Here is a 19059-nt window from a genome sequence, read left to right as displayed (position 1 = left end):
AAAAAATCAGCCGGGTATGGTGGCAGGTGCCTGTAATCCCAGCTACTTGGGAGGCTGAGGCAGGAGAATTGCTTGAACCCGGGAGGCAGAGGTTGCAGTGAGCCGAGATCACGCCACTGCACTCCAGCCTGGGGGACAAGAGCAAGATTCGTCGGATGGAAAAAAAAAAAAAAATTGATGTGTTATATTTATACTATTTATAATTTATTTATATGGGCTGATTTCCTGTTTTATTCAAGAGTTTATAATCTTGCTATCATTAATAAAATTTTTTTATTTTTATTTATTTATTTATTTATTTATTTTTGAGATGGAGTCTTACTCTGTTGCTCAGGCTGGAGTGCAGTGGCGAGGTATTGGCTCACCGAAACCTCTGCCTCCCGGATTCAAGCGATTCTCCTGCCTCAGCCTTTCAAGTAGCTGGGACTACAGTCACCCACCACCATGCCCTGGTAATTTTTTGTATTTTTAGTAGAGACGGGGGCTTACCATGTTGACCAGGCTGGTCTCAAACTCCTGACCTCTGGTGATCCGCCCGCCTCAGCCTCCCAAAGTGGTGCGATTACAGGCAGGAGCCACCATGCCCCGTTGATTATTCTTAGCACGGTTACCCATTTGACCAATCCCCCTCCATGTAACCAATCTACCATTGCCACTGCCCTCTTCTGCGGGTGTCCCTGTCACCTACTTGGGCTCTGACTCTTCACGGTGGGCTGGTCACGCCCCCAGCCTGGACACCCTTCTCTGGGGTTCTTGGGCTCTGACACCCATACCAGGCTCTTCCCAACCATGGCCCTGCATAGACACCTTCCCTGGGCTCTGCACCGCATCCTGGGCTACTGTCCCCCCGCTCCCAGGCACGAAGGCATGTCCTGTCCCATTCTGCCCTGTGGCTGAAGGACTGAGTCACTGGGGATGGAGTGTGGGAGGAAAGGCTCTAAATGAACTCGAGAGAGTGTTGTTCCCATGCTCTGGATTATTGAAATACATTGTAATTTACCTGCTTAAAGGAAAGACTAAATATTAAGAAGAAAATAAAAATATCCCTAGTCCCAGTGATAAAGTTGTTCCTAATTTTAGGCCATTATGTAATGCTGCAGTAAATATCCTGATCCCTAAAATCCCAATTTTGAAAAATTAGAGTATACATATATTCAGTATAAATCCCAAATTACAGTGTACATATATAGTATATACAGTGCTGCTCCTAATGATGGAAAATTGTTATGTACATGTAGAATGTGCATTCTTTGCCTGTATCTATAGACGTACTGTAATTTACCCACATTGGGATTTTTCTGGGTTTTCTTTCAACACAGCTAACTTTCTCATGTCATTGAGGATTATTAAAAGATGCAGTTTTTTTTTTTTATGGCCATTTAGCATTACATAATTTTAGCCTATATTCTTGAACATGAGGTTGTTCATAATTGTTATATTTTATGTGCCACAGTGAAAATCCTGGTACATAAATCTTGGTGTGCTCACATGTTTCCTAAGGTGCAGTTCCTATAATTGGAACAACTGGCTCAAAGGTTGGAAGGGTTTTCCGGGCGTGGGTATCTTGTCTCTGGGGGCATCGGTTCTCCTACTGCCTCCAGGGGGTGTCTGCCCTCCACCCTGCTGCCTCCTGTCCGGCCACTGCCCAGGGTTTCTGTCTTTCTGCTCAGTCTTTTTCAGTTTGGCCAATAACGGTACCTTGTTGTTTTCACTTCTTTGATTCTTAGCGGGGCTGAACATTTTTTCGTACCCTCTGGCCATTTGTATTTCATAGAGGCTGCTTGTATGTATTAAATGCATTTCTTTTCTGTAGGAAACTCCGGGACGTTTTACAGCAGAGGCTGATCAAATTCTTCATTGACCAGAGTAAAAAAGATGCTGAGAAGTATGCAAAGTTTTTTGAAGATTACGGCCTGTTCATGCGGGAGGGCATTGTGACCGCCACCGAGCAGGAGGTCAAGGTATAGGAGCTGTGTTCCAGGCCTTTTTCTGGGCCACCTTGTCCCTGGGGCTGCTGAGGAAGCTGGTGGAGGTGTCCCCTGATGTGGCGACGGTGCAGCTGGGTACCCTGGCTGCTGCTGCTGCTGCCACCAGGGTCAGGAAATGGAAGGCCAGGCTTCTGGGCCTCTGGCACCTTCCAGGCACATCCTTACCCTCCCACCAGTGCTGTGCTGTGCTCTGAAGGGCTCAGCCTCACTGCTGTGTGAAGGTGCAGCCCAGGGAGTGGCAGGAAGAGGGCGTGCACACACTGTCTCCCCTCAGAGGATGTTGGGGGCTGGGGAGCCACAGACAGGTGGGACAAGCCAAGGACTCCGATCCCGTGGGTGGGGAAGTGGGTGGTCTCAGTGTCTGTTGAGGGACTATTCATCATGTACTGGATATCAGTCTCCAAATACTATGCTACAGGGGCCAGTCGTTCAGTTAATCCAATAGTGGATGGCTGAAAAACGAAACATTTGTTCCATAAACATTTTTTGTCCATTTTTTATTGAGATACAACTTACATAGCATCAGATTCACAGAATTCACCTTTTAACACGTAAAATTCAGTGGCATTTAGTGCATTCACAGTGTGGTGTGGCTGCCTCCACTGTAACCCCAGAACATTTCATCCCAGGAGCCCATCCCGTGCTGGTGTCCCTTCTCCCCAGCAGCAGGAGGAGGGTGACCACGTGTGTGGGGTCCCAAGGAGGCCGTGTTCTGGTTGTTTGCCGACTTCGGCAGCTTCTGACACAGGCCTCTTCATTCTCCTTTATCTTCATTTGAGTTAACAGCACACAGGTAAGAGTCAGAGACATTTCTAGGTCTTTGTAGGTGTGCACGTGTGACATGTCTTATCAATGCAGACCCACCATGTGTGCAGGGGTGGCCTGGGCCCTGCTGGTTGGGTGTCCAGCTCCTTGCTTTTCCCTCTTTCTGTTTTCCCCCTGCGTCCTTCCAGCTGCAGCTCCCATGAGCTCTAGAGGTCACAGCTGCGTTCAGCTGATGGGGAGGAGGGCAAACCCCTCCCCTAAGGGCCCTTCTCCAAATCCCACTGAAACCCACTGGGCAAAGCCAGTCTCTGCCATAGCCAGCTGTGAGGAGGGCCGGGAACCGTGGACTTCACCCGTGTCCGTGTGCCCACCAGAGACTGACTCTGTCACTGAGGGCAGAGGGAAGACGCTGGGTCCAGGCCGGGCTCTGCTGTTGGGTGGGGTCCCCTCCCAGGGCGTGGTGCGCGTAGCTCCCTGGAGAGCCCCTGGGCCACCTGGGGCAGGAGGTGCTTCCTAAGCCCCCAGAGCTCCCAAAAGGGGCCTGATGGGCAGAGCAAGGCCTGCTCTCGGACAACCCCCGAGTCCACTACCGTCCCTCGGGTCAGGGCCAGCCTGGAGTGCCAGGAGGCCATGGGCATCGGAGGGTTTGCGCCCAGTTAGTTGGGCAACATTGAGCCCATGGGCCTGGAATAAGTGGTGACCTGCCCCGTCCCTTCTAGGAGGACATAGCAAAGCTGCTGCGCTACGAGTCCTCGGCGCTGCCCTCCGGGCAGCTAACCAGCCTCTCAGAATACGCCAGCCGCATGCGGGCCGGCACCCGCAACATCTACTACCTGTGCGCCCCCAACCGTCACCTGGCAGAGCACTCACCCTACTATGAGGCCATGAAGAAGAAAGACACAGAGGTGGGTGAGCGGTGGGTGGGGCGGGCTCCGGGGGCTGCAACCTGGGGAGGGTCTTGACCTTCTCAGCTCTGTGCTGGGTGAACCTGCCCAAGACTCCGGGCAGGGCTGCACAGTGGGTCAGGGTCACGGGCACAGAGGCCGGACCGACTGTGACGGCTGTTTCCCACTTGGAGGTCACATGTGGTTTTTTTTGTTTGTTTTTTGTTTTTTTGAGATGGAGTCTTGCTCTCTCGCCCAGGCTAGAGTGCAGTGGTGCGATCTCGGCTCACTGCAACTTCCGCCTCCTGGGTTCAGGTCATTCTCCTGCCTCAGCCTCCTGAGTAGCTGGGACTACAGGTGCACACCACCACACCCAGCAAATTTTTGTATTTTTAATAGAGACGGCATTTCACCATGTTGGTCTCGAACTCCTGACCTCATGATCTGCCTGCTTTGGCCTCCCAAAGTGCTGGGATTACAGGCGTGAGCCACTGCACTCAGCCACATGTGGATTTCTTTATGCGTGGAGTGCTTCTGCCTTGAAGGCAGTCAGAGCCTTCCTTAGACCCAGGTGTCGTAGTAACTGTCATGCAGGCCTAGGAACCCCAACTGCCCCGGTGTTCCCCAGTGTGGCCCGCTTGGCTCCCCCAGCCCTCCTGCCGCCCTCATCCTTTCTTCTGTGGTGGCTGGAGGCCCCCGGGGTCTGATGGAGCTGCTCTTGGCCACCTGCAGGTTCTCTTCTGCTTTGAGCAGTTTGATGAGCTCACCCTGCTGCACCTTCGTGAGTTTGACAAGAAGAAGCTGATCTCTGTGGAGACGGACATAGTCGTGGATCACTACAAGGAGGAGAAGTTTGAGGACAGGTCCCCAGGTCGGCATCCCCTGCTCTCTAGGCGTGGGGCTGGTTTCCACTCCCCGCACGCCTCTCCTGCCCCGCAGCGAGGGCTTCCTTTGGGTTTTCGTCAGTTGACCTGGGCTCAGCCACCCCCGAGAAGAGCCTTGTGGGAGCACCCTGGTGACTGGAGGAAGGTGCCTCCTGGTTTAGATATCAGGGGTCTGTCCAGTGCTCCTGCCACGGTGGCTTCTGGAGCTGGCCCAGCTTCTTGAGAGGCTGTGTATTTTTTTAAAGCCCTAACCAAGTTGTATGGGCCTCAGGCAACCTGAAGCATCCTTTGAGGTTTTACTTTTAGATGAAAAGCATCTTGCTAGCTTGTGTCTCCATCCTGGTGGGAGAGGAGGTGGGAGCTGGAAGCATGCTGCGTGGCCCCCATGGAAGCCGGGGAGTTGGGATGCAGGCCTGAGCTCCCTGTCGCCTGCTCTTCCGCAGCCGCCGAGTGCCTATCAGAGAAGGAGACGGAGGAGCTCATGGCCTGGATGAGAAATGTGCTGGGGTCGCGTGTCACCAACGTGAAGGTGAGGCTTTCCCGGGGATGGACCACCACTTGGCCGCAGTGTCCCTAACAGGCTGGCCAGCTGGTGGCTCCCAGTACCTGGCCCGTTGGGTGTCCTTCCAGCAGCAGCAGAAGCCCTTGGTGTCAGGTGGAGACCCTGTGGGTCCCTGCTCGGCACGTGTTGCTCGGGAGTGCCGCTGAGGCAGGAAGGCCGTGTCTTTCTCCCAGCCCTGCTCCAGAGCAGGTGTGAACTGAGAACTGAAAAACCAGCATCCTGAGTGGGAGCTGCAATGGCTGAGGACGTGGGGGTTCCAAACAAGGGACATGCTACCCCAGCCCTCAGGAGCTCACATGCTCACTTGGGTGCTTAGTCGGGGGTTTTGGGTGGGCTTCAGAGAGCTAAGACTCCCCCCACCAACCTGTCTAGCTCAGAGTGAGAAATGAGCGTCCCATGCATGGTCACTTGGAGGAAGGGGCCTCATGCAGGGTGGGCTGGCATGGAGCAGAGGACGATGGATTCGGGCAGCTCCTGGAGGCAGCAGCGGGGCACCAGGGTGGTGGAGCCCCTCGGGCACAGTATCTTTGCGTGGGGCATCAGCTCAGGGCCCACAAGTTAGTGGGTAATGGGGAGGGAGCAGCGCTGGTCCAGGGGAGTCCTTGAGACCCCGCCTGCTACCTCGTGGTCTGGGTGACCTTCACCCCTGGTAAGATCCTGCCAGCCCTCTCACATTGGGAACCTCTATCACCCTCAACCCCGGGCTTTGCTCACAGGTGACCCTCCGACTGGACACCCACCCTGCCATGGTCACCGTGCTGGAGATGGGGGCTGCCCGCCACTTCCTGCGCATGCAGCAGCTGGCCAAGACCCAGGAGGAGCGCGCACAGCTCCTGCAGCCCACGCTGGAGATCAACCCCAGGTGAGGCCACGCTCCTGGCTCTTCCAGCCTGTGGGATTCCCCAGAATCCTGTGTGTGGTGTTCTTTTGTTGTGGAATGTGACACAGAAGAAAAGTGCGTGAGGCCTGTGGACATGTGGGTAACTATAAGGAGCTGTATGCAGTTTAGGCTGCACCCATGTGAAATGGAACCTGGCCAGCCCCTTACCATCCCCAGGTGTCACCTGGGAGGTTAGCCACATCCCAGCCTGTGACCATGTCCTCGTTTTGCTTTATGGCTTTGCCACCTGTGCGTGTCCTGGACATGCTCAGTTTTGCCTGTTTTGAGCTTTGTACGTGGATCTTGGTGTTTGCTGAAGTCTCACGTTGCTCACTTGGCATGAGGGTTGCCCATGCAGAGGGGCTGCCACAAGTTCATTTTCATAGCCGAATAATGTCCGCTGCAGAAACCCACCTCGGCACAGCAGACTGCTCCGTTCTGCTCTGCTGGGCCTCCGGTGGTTCTTGGTCAGAAGTTGTGGAGAGCCAGGCTGCTCTGAGTATTCTTGTCCACGTGTCTGGGGCTTGTGTGGGTTTCTCTGTGGCCCCGGTGGTGGGAGCTGCTTCCAGGGTGCACCGAGAACCCCCCAGCCCTGACAGTGGCTGAGCCGTAAGATTTCCCTCGTTTCTTCCTGTTGTTCTTTATATGCCCTTTATCTGTTGTAAATGTCTTTTCACCTGCCTTTAGGTATCTTTTGAGTTTCTTTCTTTTTACAGTATCACTTCTTTGCACCCATGAATGTGATCTATTTAGGTCTTTAACATCCTTTGGTACCTTACATTCTCTGTAGGGTTCTGGTACCATTTTTAAAGAATTATTCTTTGATGTGTCTTATGGGGTATTTTAAAATTTCATTTTCTAACTTGTATATGAACTAACTTGTATATGAAGTTTCTTTTTTGGGGGAAATTTTGAATGTAGCAATTTTTTAAAAAATGAAGTTACATAAACATGTTACCAAAAATAGAAAACAGCAAAAAGGAAATCAAAATCCATAGACTTACCACCCCCCCCACAATGTAGCCTAAGTAGTATTTTAATTTTTGAGACAGGGTCTCACTCTGTCCCCCAGGTTGGAGTGCAGTGGGGCAATCTCAGCTCACTGCAACTTCTACCTCCTGGCCTCAAACAATCCACCTGCCTTAGCCTCCCGAAGTGCTGGGATTACAAGTGTGGGCTACCACCCCCAGCCAGTTTTTGTTTTGTTCTTTAGTACATGTCTAGTTTTTTTCTTTTGTCATTTTACAACCATAACTTTTAAAATTATACTGGAGGCGAGGGAGATGCATCTTCCTAGCCATGGCACTCCTGGGGAAAGGCTGACTTGGCTTATGGCTGTCAGTGCACAGCAGCGCCAGTATGCAGAATGCCTGTGCCTCTGCTGGAGCAGCTCAGTGAGGCGGACACCAGGTCACTTTAACTAGTTTTGGTGGCAAACTAGTTTTGTGAGATAGCTGCAGAAGTGCTCGTTTCTGTCTGTTGCCACTTCACTTTTGGAGACAGGGTCTTGCTCTGTCACCTAGGCTGGAGTGTACCAGTGGCGCCATCAGAGCTCACTGCAGCCTTGGCCTCCCAAAGTGGTGGGATTACAGGCGAGAGCCACTGTGCCCAGCCAGCTTCACTTTCATTTGTTTTAAAATTTGGTGTTCTGTCCACATAGTTCAGAATTCAAAACTGCTTACAGGGGAAAATTTCCTCCTACCTGTGTCCCCAGTGCAGCCAGCATTAGGGCTTTTGTATTTCTGCAGAGATTATGTGCATTTGTGGGCAGCTGCGCCCGTGGGCTTCCAAGGGGGAACTTGCTGTGCAGTGGGTCCTTGCCTTGCTTTTCTCCCTTAGGGTAACTAGGTGACCTCCACATTAGCATATTAAGAATGTCCTTTTTTTCCAGCTACGTAGACTAGAAATGTGAGGATGTGCATTTGAAGTGTTTCCTCTGTTAGGTTGGGTGCGGTGCCTCACGCCTGTAATCCCAACATTTTGGGAGGCCTAGGCGGGTGGATCACTTGAGGTCAGGAGTTCGAGACCTCATCTCTACTAAAAATACAAAAACTAGCTGGGGGTGGTGGTGGGTGCCTGTAATCCCAGTTACTTGGGAGGCTGAGGCAAGAGAACCTCTTGAAACCAGGAGGCTGCGGTGAGCCAAGATCATGCCATTTCACTCTAGCTTGGGTGAAGGAGTGAGAGTCTATCTATCTATCTATCTATCTATCTATCTAAAAAAAAAAGTGTTTAAAGGGATGCAGTTAGGAAATGGAATGGCTGAGTCTCAGCATATCATCCACATGTGGTTTTCCCGACTCCAGTTGTCCTCTGGAGAGGTTGTACAAATTTACAGTTCCCCAGAGCCCTCGGTTTTATCAGACTTCTAAGTGAAAAATTATAATATTCATGTTAAGGTTAAATACTACATGATGCTTTTTCCTATGCAGAAAAAAATATTGTTCTGACGTCAAATATGTCAATCATTCTTTACTTTTTGGTTTGTGGTTTTGCTTGGAAAGGCTTTCCCCTTCTGAGATGATGAAACATTTCTTCCCTAGAATTGTGCTTGTCATCTTTGATCCCTCTGGAATTTACTCTGGTCTAAATGGTTTTCTGCATGGCTCCCAGTCATCCCAGTGCTGCTGGATGGAGTGATCTGTCTCCTCCCTCTTCTGTGAAATACTGTCCTCATCAGACACTCAGTGTCCACCCTCGTTACATGGAGTTGTTTGCCTTCCCCCTTTCCAGACCTAAACTGTTTTATTTACTAGAGCCCTATAATATGTTTCAACATGTGGGTCTTACTCCCTTCTCTTTTATTATTTATCTAGGAACCAAGGCATGTCTTCACGTACTAAGCTCCTTTTGTCCCTTTAGTGTATATTAATCTTGGAGTTTGGCTACCTTACAGCATTTTCTAATACTGACACTCCTGATTCTCTTGGGTTTTCTGGGTATATAATGATATTATCTATAAATGATCATTAACATACCTTATTTAAAAAACTACAGACAGTCTTACTGTGCTTCTTTAAATATCCTGATAATCCCAAAACATGAAGGGAGGGTCACAGCACGTGGTACTGAGCTGCTTTTTCTGGTGGGTTCTGTGTTGCAGGCACGCGCTCATCAAGAAGCTGAATCAGCTGCGCGCAAGCGAGCCTGGCCTGGCTCAGCTGCTGGTGGATCAGGTGAGTGCAGCAGCTTAGGATGACTGCAGGGACCCAGGCTACCAGCCCTGCCAGCCTGCCTTCAGGGTGGAACAGCGGTTTCCTCTAAAATCCTGTCTTTTTGTTTGTTTGTTTGTTTTTTGAGATGGAGTGTTGCTCTGTTGCCAGGCTGGAGTGCAGTGGCGCGATCTTGGCTCACTACAACCTCTGCCTCCCGGGTTCAAGCAATTCCCCTGCCTCAGCCTCCCGAGTAGCTGGGACTACAGGCATGCGCCTGGCTAATTTTGTATTTTAGTAGAGATGGGGTTTTCACCATCTTGGCCAGGATGGTCTCAATCTCCTGACCTCGTGAGCCACCGTGCCCAGCCAAATTCTGTTTTAAAAACGGAAAAATGGCCAGGCGTGGTGGCTCACGCCTGTAATCCCAGCACTTTGGGAGGCGGGGGGATCACCTGAGGTTGCAGTGAGCCGAGATCGTGCCTCTGCACTCCAGCCTCGGCAACAGTGAGACTCTGTCTCAAAAAAAAAAAAATGAAAAGGTGCCCCATGCCCCTCATAATGGGTTTCTCCTCTTGCCTTTCAGATATACGAGAACGCCATGATTGCTGCTGGACTTGTTGACGACCCTAGGGCCATGGTGGGCCGCTTGAATGAGCTGCTTGTCAAGGCCCTGGAGCGACACTGACAGCCAGGGGGCCAGAAGGACTGACACCACAGATGACAGCCCCACCTCCTTGAGCTTTATTTACCTAAATTTAAAGGTATTTCTTAACCCGAGTGTGTGTTGGGCTTTTTTTCTGGGTCCTGTGGCAGGATGGGTCCTCTCTTCCTGCAGTTCAACTGGTGTGGGGAGGGGCTGCTCACTTCAGCATCACCTCCACTGGATAGTGGTCACTGATGGCTTGGGCCTGCAGGCAAGTGGGCACAGGGTCTGGGCTGAGCCTACCTGAGCTCCTGTGTCCCATCCTCATGTGGCTGTGCAAGGGAGGACACATACCAGTTGGTCACTCAGGCCATAGGCAGCCTGGAAGTTAAAGGGAAGAGCCGAGTCGGGAACAACGGCGCCTCGGAGCAGCATCCCTGCAACCACGATCCTGATGGGTGTTGGGAAGAGAAAGTAGGTTCCCCTTTCACACATGGGCCTGGCTCAGCACCCGCAGGAACTAAACTAAGAGCCCTGGGACCTGCCAGTGCAGGTCTGTGGGTGCCCAAAACTGCACACCCTGGTCTGTGCCCCTCAATGTGGAAACCACATGACAGCCTAGGTGTCTGCCTCTCCTCTTATCCCCAGATGTGCTTTTCCGAAAAAACCTAAAAATCGTGGCTCTTGTTATTCTGTTCCCTGTAGTGGATCAACTGAAGCTCAGTTGGGTGAGTGTTCAAAGGCTTTGAGGCTTCTGAAGCCCGACCTATGAGTCACGGCTGCCCTTGGAGGTGCCCTCAGTCTGCCCTAAGCGCGAGGCCCTGCTCACCTGTCATAGGCACAGTGCGTGGGTGTAGCTGTGGTGTCAGCGCTGTCGGGGATCAGCCACTGGAAGGTGGGGCTTGTCCACAGGCGGATGGATGACCACTGGGAGGGTCTCACATAGCTGCAGCCCGCATTGAAGTCGCCCATCAACATGACGTCCTACCAGGAAACGCTGCCTGTGGCCCTGGGACATGCGGAGGCCGCTGGTGCCCACTGCCCCTGGGAGGGCCTCACCTCCAAGCCCCATTTCTCTTGGACATCCAGGTAGACGTCATAGAGAGCGTCGATCTCGGCTACTGCGTCCCCCGGGGCCGCATGCAGGGGAACAATGGCAAACTCCCTGACCTCTGTGGAGACAGCCACGTCGTGTGAGGCACACTCCCTGGGGGCAGGTTCAGTCACCATGTCAGCTGGAACTATGTATCATGACAGTCCCCCCGGGGGGTGGATATTTTCCAAATGACTTGAATGGAAAACCCAAGCCCCAGGGACTGGGAGGGCAGTGTGTGACACAGGCATTCCAGGTTCCCTAGGAGGGGGTGGAGGCCATAAGCGCCAAGCCGAGCCCCACCCTGGCCCAGGCAGCACCCACCTGTGAACCGGGAGAAGAACCTGACAATGGCTGGCTCTCGGTTGAAGGTGTCGTTCCCGCAGGGCTCGCAGCCATCATCGTAGTAGTAGCTGTCCACCGCAGACACCTGGTCAGGCCTGCGGGAAGGCCGGGCAGGAGGAGGTGACCCCAGGCTGGAAGCTGCCCCACTCCTGCTTCCCAGGAGGCAGGCGTCGCGTCCCAGGCGACAGGAGGGCGGGGGAGCCAGGCACCTGCTCAACCCATTGGTCCGGGACCCAGGCGACAGGAGGGCGGGGGAGCCAGGCACCTGCTCAACCCATTGGTCCGGGACCCAGGCGACAGGAGGGCGGGGGAGCCAGGCACCTGCTCAACCCATTGGTCCGGGACCCAGGCGACAGGAGGGCGGGGGAGCCAGGCACCTGCTCAACCCATTGGTCCGGGACCTTGGGGTGTTTTCACTCCACCCTGGACCCTGCTCTGAAGCCTCAGGTTCTTGCCATAGGACAAACTAATAGGACAAACTACTTCCCTGCTCTGTTGGGGCCCTCCCAGGTGAGGGAGGGGCTTCCTGGCTTTCTAGACCACCCACCTGTACACGAACAGGTAGCGCTCCTTATAGCTGTTCCGTCCCAGTGGCTCACTGACCACGTAGTGATAGGTGTCTGGTGCATCCCTGGATTGAAGAAACAAAAGGTCCCAGTGGCGGGGGCCATAGGGGACCCCTCTGGCTGCCGATAGCGAGGCTGTGCCCAGGTCCCCACCCTTGGGGCCCAAGTGAAGTGAGGCTGTGCCGTGGACGAGATGTCACCTTCCTATGACCCTGCCACTGTCACCCACTGATTGAGGTTGTCCAGCAGCTTCCCCACGGCAGTCAGGTGGCTGTCTCTGACCTCCTGGACCAGGGCGATGTCATAGCGGCTCAGGATCTGGGGGCAGGGCCACAGTGGTGCTGAGCAGGGCTGGTGCCACCCAGGGACCCTACAGCGCCACAAAGGGAGCCACAGCTGATGCTCGTGGCATTGCTCGGTTTAACCGCAGCCTCATGTTTCTGCCTGGGCTCCTGCTGCCAGCCAGGGACAGCACAGCAGGGATGAGGACCTTGGTCCACAGCCAAGAGCCTGTTCCACCGTGCTGGGAGCAGTGGTGCTCAGTACCCCACACCCGACACCCTGTGGCTCCATAGGGCTGGCCCTGCCCACCAGCCCTAGACTCCAGAGCTCCTCTGCTTTTGGGGGGAGGCTGCCCTGGCCTCACCTGCACAATGTAGCTGACGAGGGTGGCATTGGACATCTTGGTCTCCCCAAATGTCTGGATGTTGAAGGCTGCGATCTTCAGGGACACGGCCCCCTGCAGTAGGGCCGCCAGTGCCAGCAGCGCCCCCAGCAGCTTCATGCCCCTCATCCTGGGAGAGCACAGGGCACAGAGACATAACAGAAGTGAGACGTCATCCCTGCCACAGCACTCCAGCCTTCTGGAGCCCAGCTGGCAGGGGCTGGTGGAGCTCAAGGTCAGGGGGACGCAGGCGGGGGAAACCCTTTCCTACAACGTCCAGAAAGCCAAACAGCTGGCACCACGTAGAGGACCCCGAGTCACTCCTCCATCCACCAGAAAACCCGCCCGGGAGGGACGCTGGAGCCTCCGCCTCACTCGCTGCTGGAGGATGAGACTCTAAGCCTCCCTCCCTGCTCCAAACCGGCCAGTCACCCAGAGGCACTCCACCTGGTGCTCACCTGAGATGATGGTGATGTCCTCAGAGATGACGAGAATGCTGTCAAGAATCTGGAATATCCTTTGATGACAATTTTCTCCTTTTGCTGCTTAAAGAAAAAAAAGTAGTCTATGAAGAAAGGTCTCTGAAGAAGCACTTCAAGGCCCTGGCAGTGCTGCTGGGCTCCGGATCCTGCACAGGCAGTGCGTGTCTGGGAGTTTTAAAAGTTCAGGCAGCTGTGACCTTCCCTGGGGCAAATGTGAGCCGTCACCTGAGAGTGCAGAAAACAATGGCTCTGTGTGGCTTTCCGCATAGGTGGGTTGCTAGCACGTGTTTCTTTCTGTAAGCACAGGTTTCTTGCTGCTGTAAAAACTGCACCTGATAATCACGTTTGCACTTAGTTTTAAAATGTCTGATAACAAGGCCAAAGGTTCCTATCCCGTGTCCCTTGCACGTGTGGTGGCCCCCATCTTCCAGGATAGGGCAGGGATGGGCCAGGTATGTGCGGGAGGGTGGGGCTGGGCTCCAGTCTCCCTGTCTCTTGTCTGGGGGCCCCAAGGTCACTTTGGACAAAGAGGCCAAAGCCACATCCAAAGTTGCAAATGGAGCCCCCTGGTGGCTGACAGCCATGACTGCTCTGTGGCCCAGGACACGCCTGCCTTCCTGATTCATCGCCATCAGGTGCAGGCAACTCTGCAGGAGGCTGGGGAGCTCGGAACAAGCAGTGGTGGGGGCCTGCAGCACCAGCGCCGTGGGGCCAGGACAGGTGGGGCCTGCAAAGCCCACCCCAATTGCCAGCCAAGCAGTGGGGAGCCTTCTTGAGGTAGACAATAGGCTGTGTGTTTAGGCCCAGGGGATCCCGAGTGACCAGGTCACAAGGGCAGGGCAGCAGCTAAAGGCCAGGCCTCAGGTCCAGTAATTTCTTGGTTCTTTTGTTTTGGGTTTTTATTGTTTTTGAGACAGGGTCTCACACTGTGTTGCCAAGGCTGGAGTGCAGTGGCACAATCATGGCTCATTATAGCCTCAACCGCCAGGGCTCAGATAATCCTCCCTCCTCAGCCTCCTGAGTAGCTAAGACTATGGGTACGGCACCATGCCTGGCTAATTTTTAAATTTTTTTGGTAGAGATGGGGTCTTGCTCTTTTGTCCAGACTGGTCTTGAACTCCTGGCTTCAGGCAATCCTCCGGCGTAGCCAGGACCACAGGTGCATGCTACCATGCTCAGTTTTTTTTTTTTTTTTTTTTTTTTTTTTTTTTTTTGAGGCGGAATCTTGCTCTGCTGCCCAGCCTGGAGTGCAGTAATACTATCTCGGCTCACTGCAACCTCTGCTTCCTGGGTTCAAGCAATTCTTCTGCCTCAGCCTCCCGAGTAGCTGGGATTACAGGCACGCACCACCACACCCGGCTAATTTTTGTATTTTTAGTAGAGACAGGGTTTCACCATGTTGGTCACACTGGTCTCAAACTCGTGACCTTGTGATCCGCCTGCCTCGGCCTCCCAAAGTGCTGGGATTACAGGCGTGAGCCATCGCACCCAGCCTATTTTTTAAGTTTCTCACAGACACAAGGTCTCCAAGTCCTGAGCCCAAGCAATCTTCCCGCAAATGCTGGGATTACAAGTGTGAGCCACCGCACCCCGCCACTCATTTCTTGGAATCTTTGACTTTCCATTCGTATTCATTTCCTGAGACTGGTGAAACTACCACAAGTTTGGTTGCTTAAAATAACAGAAATGGATCCTCTCAAAATTCCGGAGACTGGACGTCTGAAGTCAGGGAGTCAGTAGGACCTTGCGCCTCCTGGAGGCTCCGGGCGGTTGGGGGATGCTCCTTGCCCTCCAGTTTCTGCAGGCTGCCAGCAATCCTTGGCTTTCCTTAGTTGTGGCTGCATCACCCCAGTCTCTGCCTCTTCTTCTTAAGATCTGTGCACCTGCATTTGGGGTCCTCCCAGAGAGCAGGGAGGATGTCCTTATCTCAACAGCCTTTACTCACATCTGCAAGTCCTTTTTTGCTACAAAAATCAACATTCAGAGGTTCCAGGGCTAGGGCACAGCTATCTTTTGAGCCACCCCTGGGTCTTGCCCACTTGGAAGGGGCTGTGCTGGCCCTCCAAGGACAGCCCTGCACGTAGCATCTGTGGTCCCCCTGGGGGAGGAGGGCCTGGAAGGCTTGGCAGAAGTCCAGGCGGGATTCAGGTATGAGAACTGCAGGAAATGAATACAAATGGGGTCTGCAGGAGGCCTCAACGGCAAGAGTCAGCAGGGGCCAAGGTCGAAAGTCAGGAAAGTGCTCGGTCTGGCCAGCTGGCCATGAAGCAGAAGGCAGGCCCAGTGGGGACTAGAAACAGGAAGGTAAACCACCCTCCACAAGACTGGCACCCCATTCCATAAAGACACGCCAACAGACGCCTCTGGCTGGCAGCACTGGTGCACTCATCTGTCCCTCCTATTGAGACGGCGTCTACCAGATGGAAACACCACCACTCCTCAGGCTGCCAGAGGCCCCATTGCAGGCTTTTCCAAAGGTTTCAGCAATGGTTCTTCCCTGTTTTTAATCTCTAAGTCTAGGACAGCCTCCAGCACGTCAAAACCCAGCCCCCAAGCAAGGCCACCGGAGTATTCGGTGTAGGGACTAGTCCTCTGCCTTTGGTGTTTGCCTTTCCTGGACACACATCTGACAGCGACCCATCACGGGGAAGGGAGTAAAGCTAGAGGGCGGCCACTGTCCTCCACCAAGAAACTGCCTGGTGCAGCTTCCGGCGGGGCACAGGGACACCAATTATAGCTCACAGAGCAAGTGCCCAACCCCCTACGTGTGCTCAGCACGTGGGACGAGGGTTCCCCTCTGGTCTGTCATCCCCTCCTGGCTCTTGACCAAATGCTGCCCCATCTGCTTTCAGGAACTCCCAGGCATAGTGCCCCTGCTTCCTCTACCTGCCAGAAGGAAGGCTGGAACTTGGGCCTCGCTTGTACAAATGGCGAGTGCTGCCTGCTGTGTGGCTGCCCTCAGGACGGGCTTTGGTGAGGGCAGCACAGCCCTGGAGGAGCCTGGTCTGACATGGGGCCCGTCTGGGATCACTGTTGGGCCTTCAACCGTCTGGAGCCTCTATGTCTTCCTCTGATAGATTCCCAGAACAATCATTTCACCTTCTAAGAAGCCATCCTGCCCCTGCAGCCTGTGGCTTGTGGAGTCTCCAGCACTCTCACTTCTCCCTCGTGGATCTCTTTTCTGTCTGTGTCAGTCAATGCTGCCATGTAACAGCCACCTGCAAACTCAGTGTATACACATGCATTTCTCTCACACTGCCAGGTCTGCTGGGGTGGCTCTGCTGCCTGGGCCTCGTCCTGGGGCTGGGCTGGAGAGACTGCAGCTCCCTGGGCACCCTCTTCCCACAGTGTGGAAGGTGGAGGCTCCCAGGGCACAAGCAGAACACGTGCCGCCCTAAGGCCAAGGCGGAGCTGGCTGCTGTCGCTTCTGCCCACATTCCATGGGTGCTGTCGAGCTGTAGGTCCAAGCCCCACATCAGGGGAGTGAGTGGGGTACAATCCTCCCATGCTGGGCCCCACTCTGGAGATAGGCCTGGGGAATGCCCAAGAAGGAAGCCCAGCCCTTCTGGGATTTTCACATCCACAGAGAATGGGTGCTGGCAGCCAACGGCAACGAGGAGAAAAGCTGACCGCCTTCTCAGATCAGGATGAGGTGTTTTTACACCAACCCCGAGGATCTGCAGCCTTCTCAGGTTAAATTAAACCTGTCACAGACACAGGAAGGGAAAAGAGCACATAACAACAATTATATTGACATCTAAGCCAGGTCACATGCTCTGATTTGGCTGAAATTACAGGATAAAGGAAAAATCCTATAGGCACCATGGCTGGAAACAAATGGCCTCAAAGGAACGCTGGTGGCCGTGGCTTTGTGCAACGACAGCCAGTGTTGTGTGACCCAGCGACGTGCAGGCCAGGGAGGGTACCCTTCTACTGATCAAGAGGGAAAGCGGGAAGGACGCACAGCTGTGGTTTCCAACCTGCACGGAGGCACCCCCATGAACTCACAGAGCACCATCAGATCCTTCTGAATTTTGAAGGAAGCAATGATACTCTGCTCTGCTCAAGGCCATTCATGGTCTCAACATTAACGTTACCTTGCTTTATAGGGTATCTTCCCTCTCTCTGCCAGGCTGGGTTGTGGCAGTCACTGAACAAGCAATTACTGTGAAGGTCGACGTGGAAAAATGAGGCAATGAGGGTGGCGGTGTTCTACCAGATTCCAAGTTGAAGAGGTGCTCGACAGGCACACACATCCCATGACTAAACAAATAACATGAACATTTCTCTTTATGTATTACTTTTCTAGACATCCACTATAAGTTGCCAGGACACAAATGCTTATTATTGGGGTTTACTTATTTAATAAATGGAACTGTGGGGGATTTCTTTTTCTTTTCTTTTTTTTTTTTTTTTTGAATGACCATATAATCTGGACTTACTAACTTTAGGTAACAGTAAGTTAAAAGATAGAATAAGGTTTCATATTACAGGAATTCAAAAATTGACCATATAATAAATGATGAAGAAAACTAACAATAAACAGGACAATGTTCAAATAGCTCATTGGGGCCAAAAGATCAGCGTATATCCTGCATCATCTTTCATGCAATGTCTCAGCTTTTTTTCCCTCAAACATAAAGGCAGATTAATACAAATTAGCCTTATTTAGAATATTCATTTACGTTTCCTTCTGAAATTGATACTTGAGTGGAAGATGTATTAATAACTCGTGGTTTCTACTGAAATTTAAGATTCCACCAGATGATGCTCAGATTTAGACGATGCTAGAGTAAGACACTACTGGGTGATGATTTCAAAGTATGAGCTGCAGGTAAAATCTAAAAGGACATACATAATAACAAATGTTTTCTAATTTAAAAGACATATAGTAAATATCCATGAATTAACTCACACAACCTACTTACAAACAAAACTAGAATAAACAAAACTTGTAGGAACCAACTCCAGTTGATTTCGCCACTTAGCGGGAGCAAGTTCTCAGGCGGGTCATTTTATTTAAGGATGACTTGAAATTTTACAAGACCACCTTAGCTCCCACATACGAAAACTCTTTAAGAATTTTTTTTTTATCAACTAGAAGTTGGGGAAAACACACCGAGAAATAAAATGATACAGCTCCTCACACATTTGAAGGCCCATGTCATGCCTAAATTTCTACCGATTTAACTTAAGAAGCTCCTCGCCCTGAGAGATTCCTTTATCCCACAACACTTGACTCAGATGGGGCAGAGGGTCCCAGGACACTACCCAGGCCACAAGATAAAAACACAACCTGTCTCCTCCGGCACCACTATCAGGGATTTCTTTTGGCTTACTATTAAAATAATTATTGAACCTTAATCAAGAGTGCTCTCAACTGAGAAAGTGTGAAGCTTCTGATCTGACATAATGCATATGCCTGAGTTAGATTTCCTACTTTACTGAATATAACTTCTTTTCTATCCTTCATCATTCACCACTGCTTCAACGTTCTGTCACAAAGAAATTCTCAGTTCTACAAATTGCTACTGAAAAGAATAATTGCAACAGATTAAACATATCACTGTGTTTCAATACATAAGTTCATGTTGACATAAAATAATTATCAGCCACCTTAGGGGGATGCTAGGAACTCAACTTGTTCTTCTGCAAAAAGGCAAATAAAGTCAAAGGATCAAGGCGGTATTCTGCCTTTCCTATGCAAAAAGGACTGCCCAGTAACCCATAGCTCGAGAAGGCTCTCTTTAGATAGGTGGACTCCAGCTAATACACGAGGAAGGAATGCTAGACCTGAAAGTCACCATTTTGCCGTCCCTAATCTCAGCCCTGATGTAGTGGCTGCTAACATCACAAAAGACAGCCTCTGTCCCTTCTAATCCAAGACCACACACAGCAGCACTTAGGAGAGTTCTTGCCAAAACAATCTTGAATCTGATCAAACCTCTAGATCTAAATGACAACTTAAAGCAAATACAAGGACAGAGGCTCACGTTCAACAGCACCATGGGGACACGGTACGACCCAGACTGGGAAATCGTAGATGGCAAAGGACAGGCTCATCAATAGATTTCAAAATGAAAAGAAGAAGAGAGGCAGAACTCATAGGTTAAAAAAAGTTCACATTTTGAGATGGATGTTAAATGAT

At 52.0% G+C, this 19059-nt stretch overlaps 2 protein-coding genes and 1 long non-coding RNA gene across 21 annotated transcripts in view, besides 2 other annotated features; 2 read left to right on the top strand and 1 right to left on the bottom strand.

Annotated features, from left to right (window-relative positions):
• TRAP1 (TNF receptor associated protein 1) overlaps positions 1-9895 on the top strand; it is a 59488-nt gene extending 49593 nt beyond the window's left edge. For all 3 annotated transcript variants that reach the window (NM_001272049.2, NM_016292.3, XM_011522345.3), the window contains 7 exons: positions 1814-1961; positions 3473-3658; positions 4370-4508; positions 4965-5050; positions 5800-5945; positions 9067-9139; positions 9702-9895. In NM_001272049.2, coding sequence (NP_001258978.1) covers positions 1814-1961; positions 3473-3658; positions 4370-4508; positions 4965-5050; positions 5800-5945; positions 9067-9139; positions 9702-9803 — 880 coding nt within the window. In that variant the 3' untranslated portion in view covers positions 9804-9895. The remainder of the gene's footprint in view (positions 1-1813; positions 1962-3472; positions 3659-4369; positions 4509-4964; positions 5051-5799; positions 5946-9066; positions 9140-9701) is intronic.
• The window catches only part of DNASE1 (deoxyribonuclease 1), a 53702-nt gene continuing 37113 nt past the window's right edge, over positions 2471-19059 (bottom strand). Inside the window, exons 4-13 of one of the 17 annotated variants that reach the window (XM_047433677.1) lie at positions 17009-17174; positions 12888-12971; positions 12412-12559; positions 11995-12083; positions 11747-11830; positions 11179-11294; positions 10821-10933; positions 10591-10745; positions 10116-10212; positions 9837-10026 (exon numbers count right to left, since the gene is read on the bottom strand). In XM_047433677.1, the coding sequence (XP_047289633.1) occupies positions 9979-10026; positions 10116-10212; positions 10591-10745; positions 10821-10933; positions 11179-11294; positions 11747-11830; positions 11995-12083; positions 12412-12558 (849 nt within the window). In that variant the 5' untranslated portion in view covers position 12559; positions 12888-12971; positions 17009-17174 and the 3' untranslated portion in view covers positions 9837-9978. Of the gene's footprint in view, positions 5287-9836; positions 10213-10590; positions 11003-11178; positions 11295-11746; positions 11831-11994; positions 12084-12411; positions 12563-12887; positions 16616-17008; positions 17175-19059 lie in introns of those variants that run through there. The other 16 variants (XM_047433676.1, NM_001351825.2, XM_024450170.2 and 13 more) reach the window with 16 other exon arrangements.
• LOC124903631 (uncharacterized) lies at positions 10165-17296 on the top strand. The gene is made up of 2 exons (XR_007064954.1): positions 10165-10235; positions 10410-17296. It is a non-coding gene; the product is annotated as an uncharacterized LOC124903631 (long non-coding RNA).
• Positions 12009-12536: an enhancer, noted in NCBI's record as "H3K4me1 hESC enhancer chr16:3705397-3705924 (GRCh37/hg19 assembly coordinates)". NCBI's record gives its function as "activates a minimal SCP1, AML or CMV promoter by ChIP-STARR-seq in naive and primed H9 embryonic stem cells {active_cell/tissue: H9 hESC(naive and primed)}" and the evidence as "EXISTENCE:reporter gene assay evidence [ECO:0000049][PMID:30033119]".
• Positions 12537-13064: an enhancer, noted in NCBI's record as "H3K27ac-H3K4me1 hESC enhancer chr16:3704869-3705396 (GRCh37/hg19 assembly coordinates)". NCBI's record gives its function as "activates a minimal SCP1, AML or CMV promoter by ChIP-STARR-seq in naive and primed H9 embryonic stem cells {active_cell/tissue: H9 hESC(naive and primed)}" and the evidence as "EXISTENCE:reporter gene assay evidence [ECO:0000049][PMID:30033119]".

Source organism: Homo sapiens, chromosome 16 (assembly GCF_000001405.40).
Source record: "Homo sapiens chromosome 16, GRCh38.p14 Primary Assembly".
Taxonomy (NCBI): Eukaryota; Metazoa; Chordata; class Mammalia; order Primates; family Hominidae; genus Homo; species Homo sapiens.
This window is presented reverse-complemented; position numbering and strand designations above follow the sequence as displayed.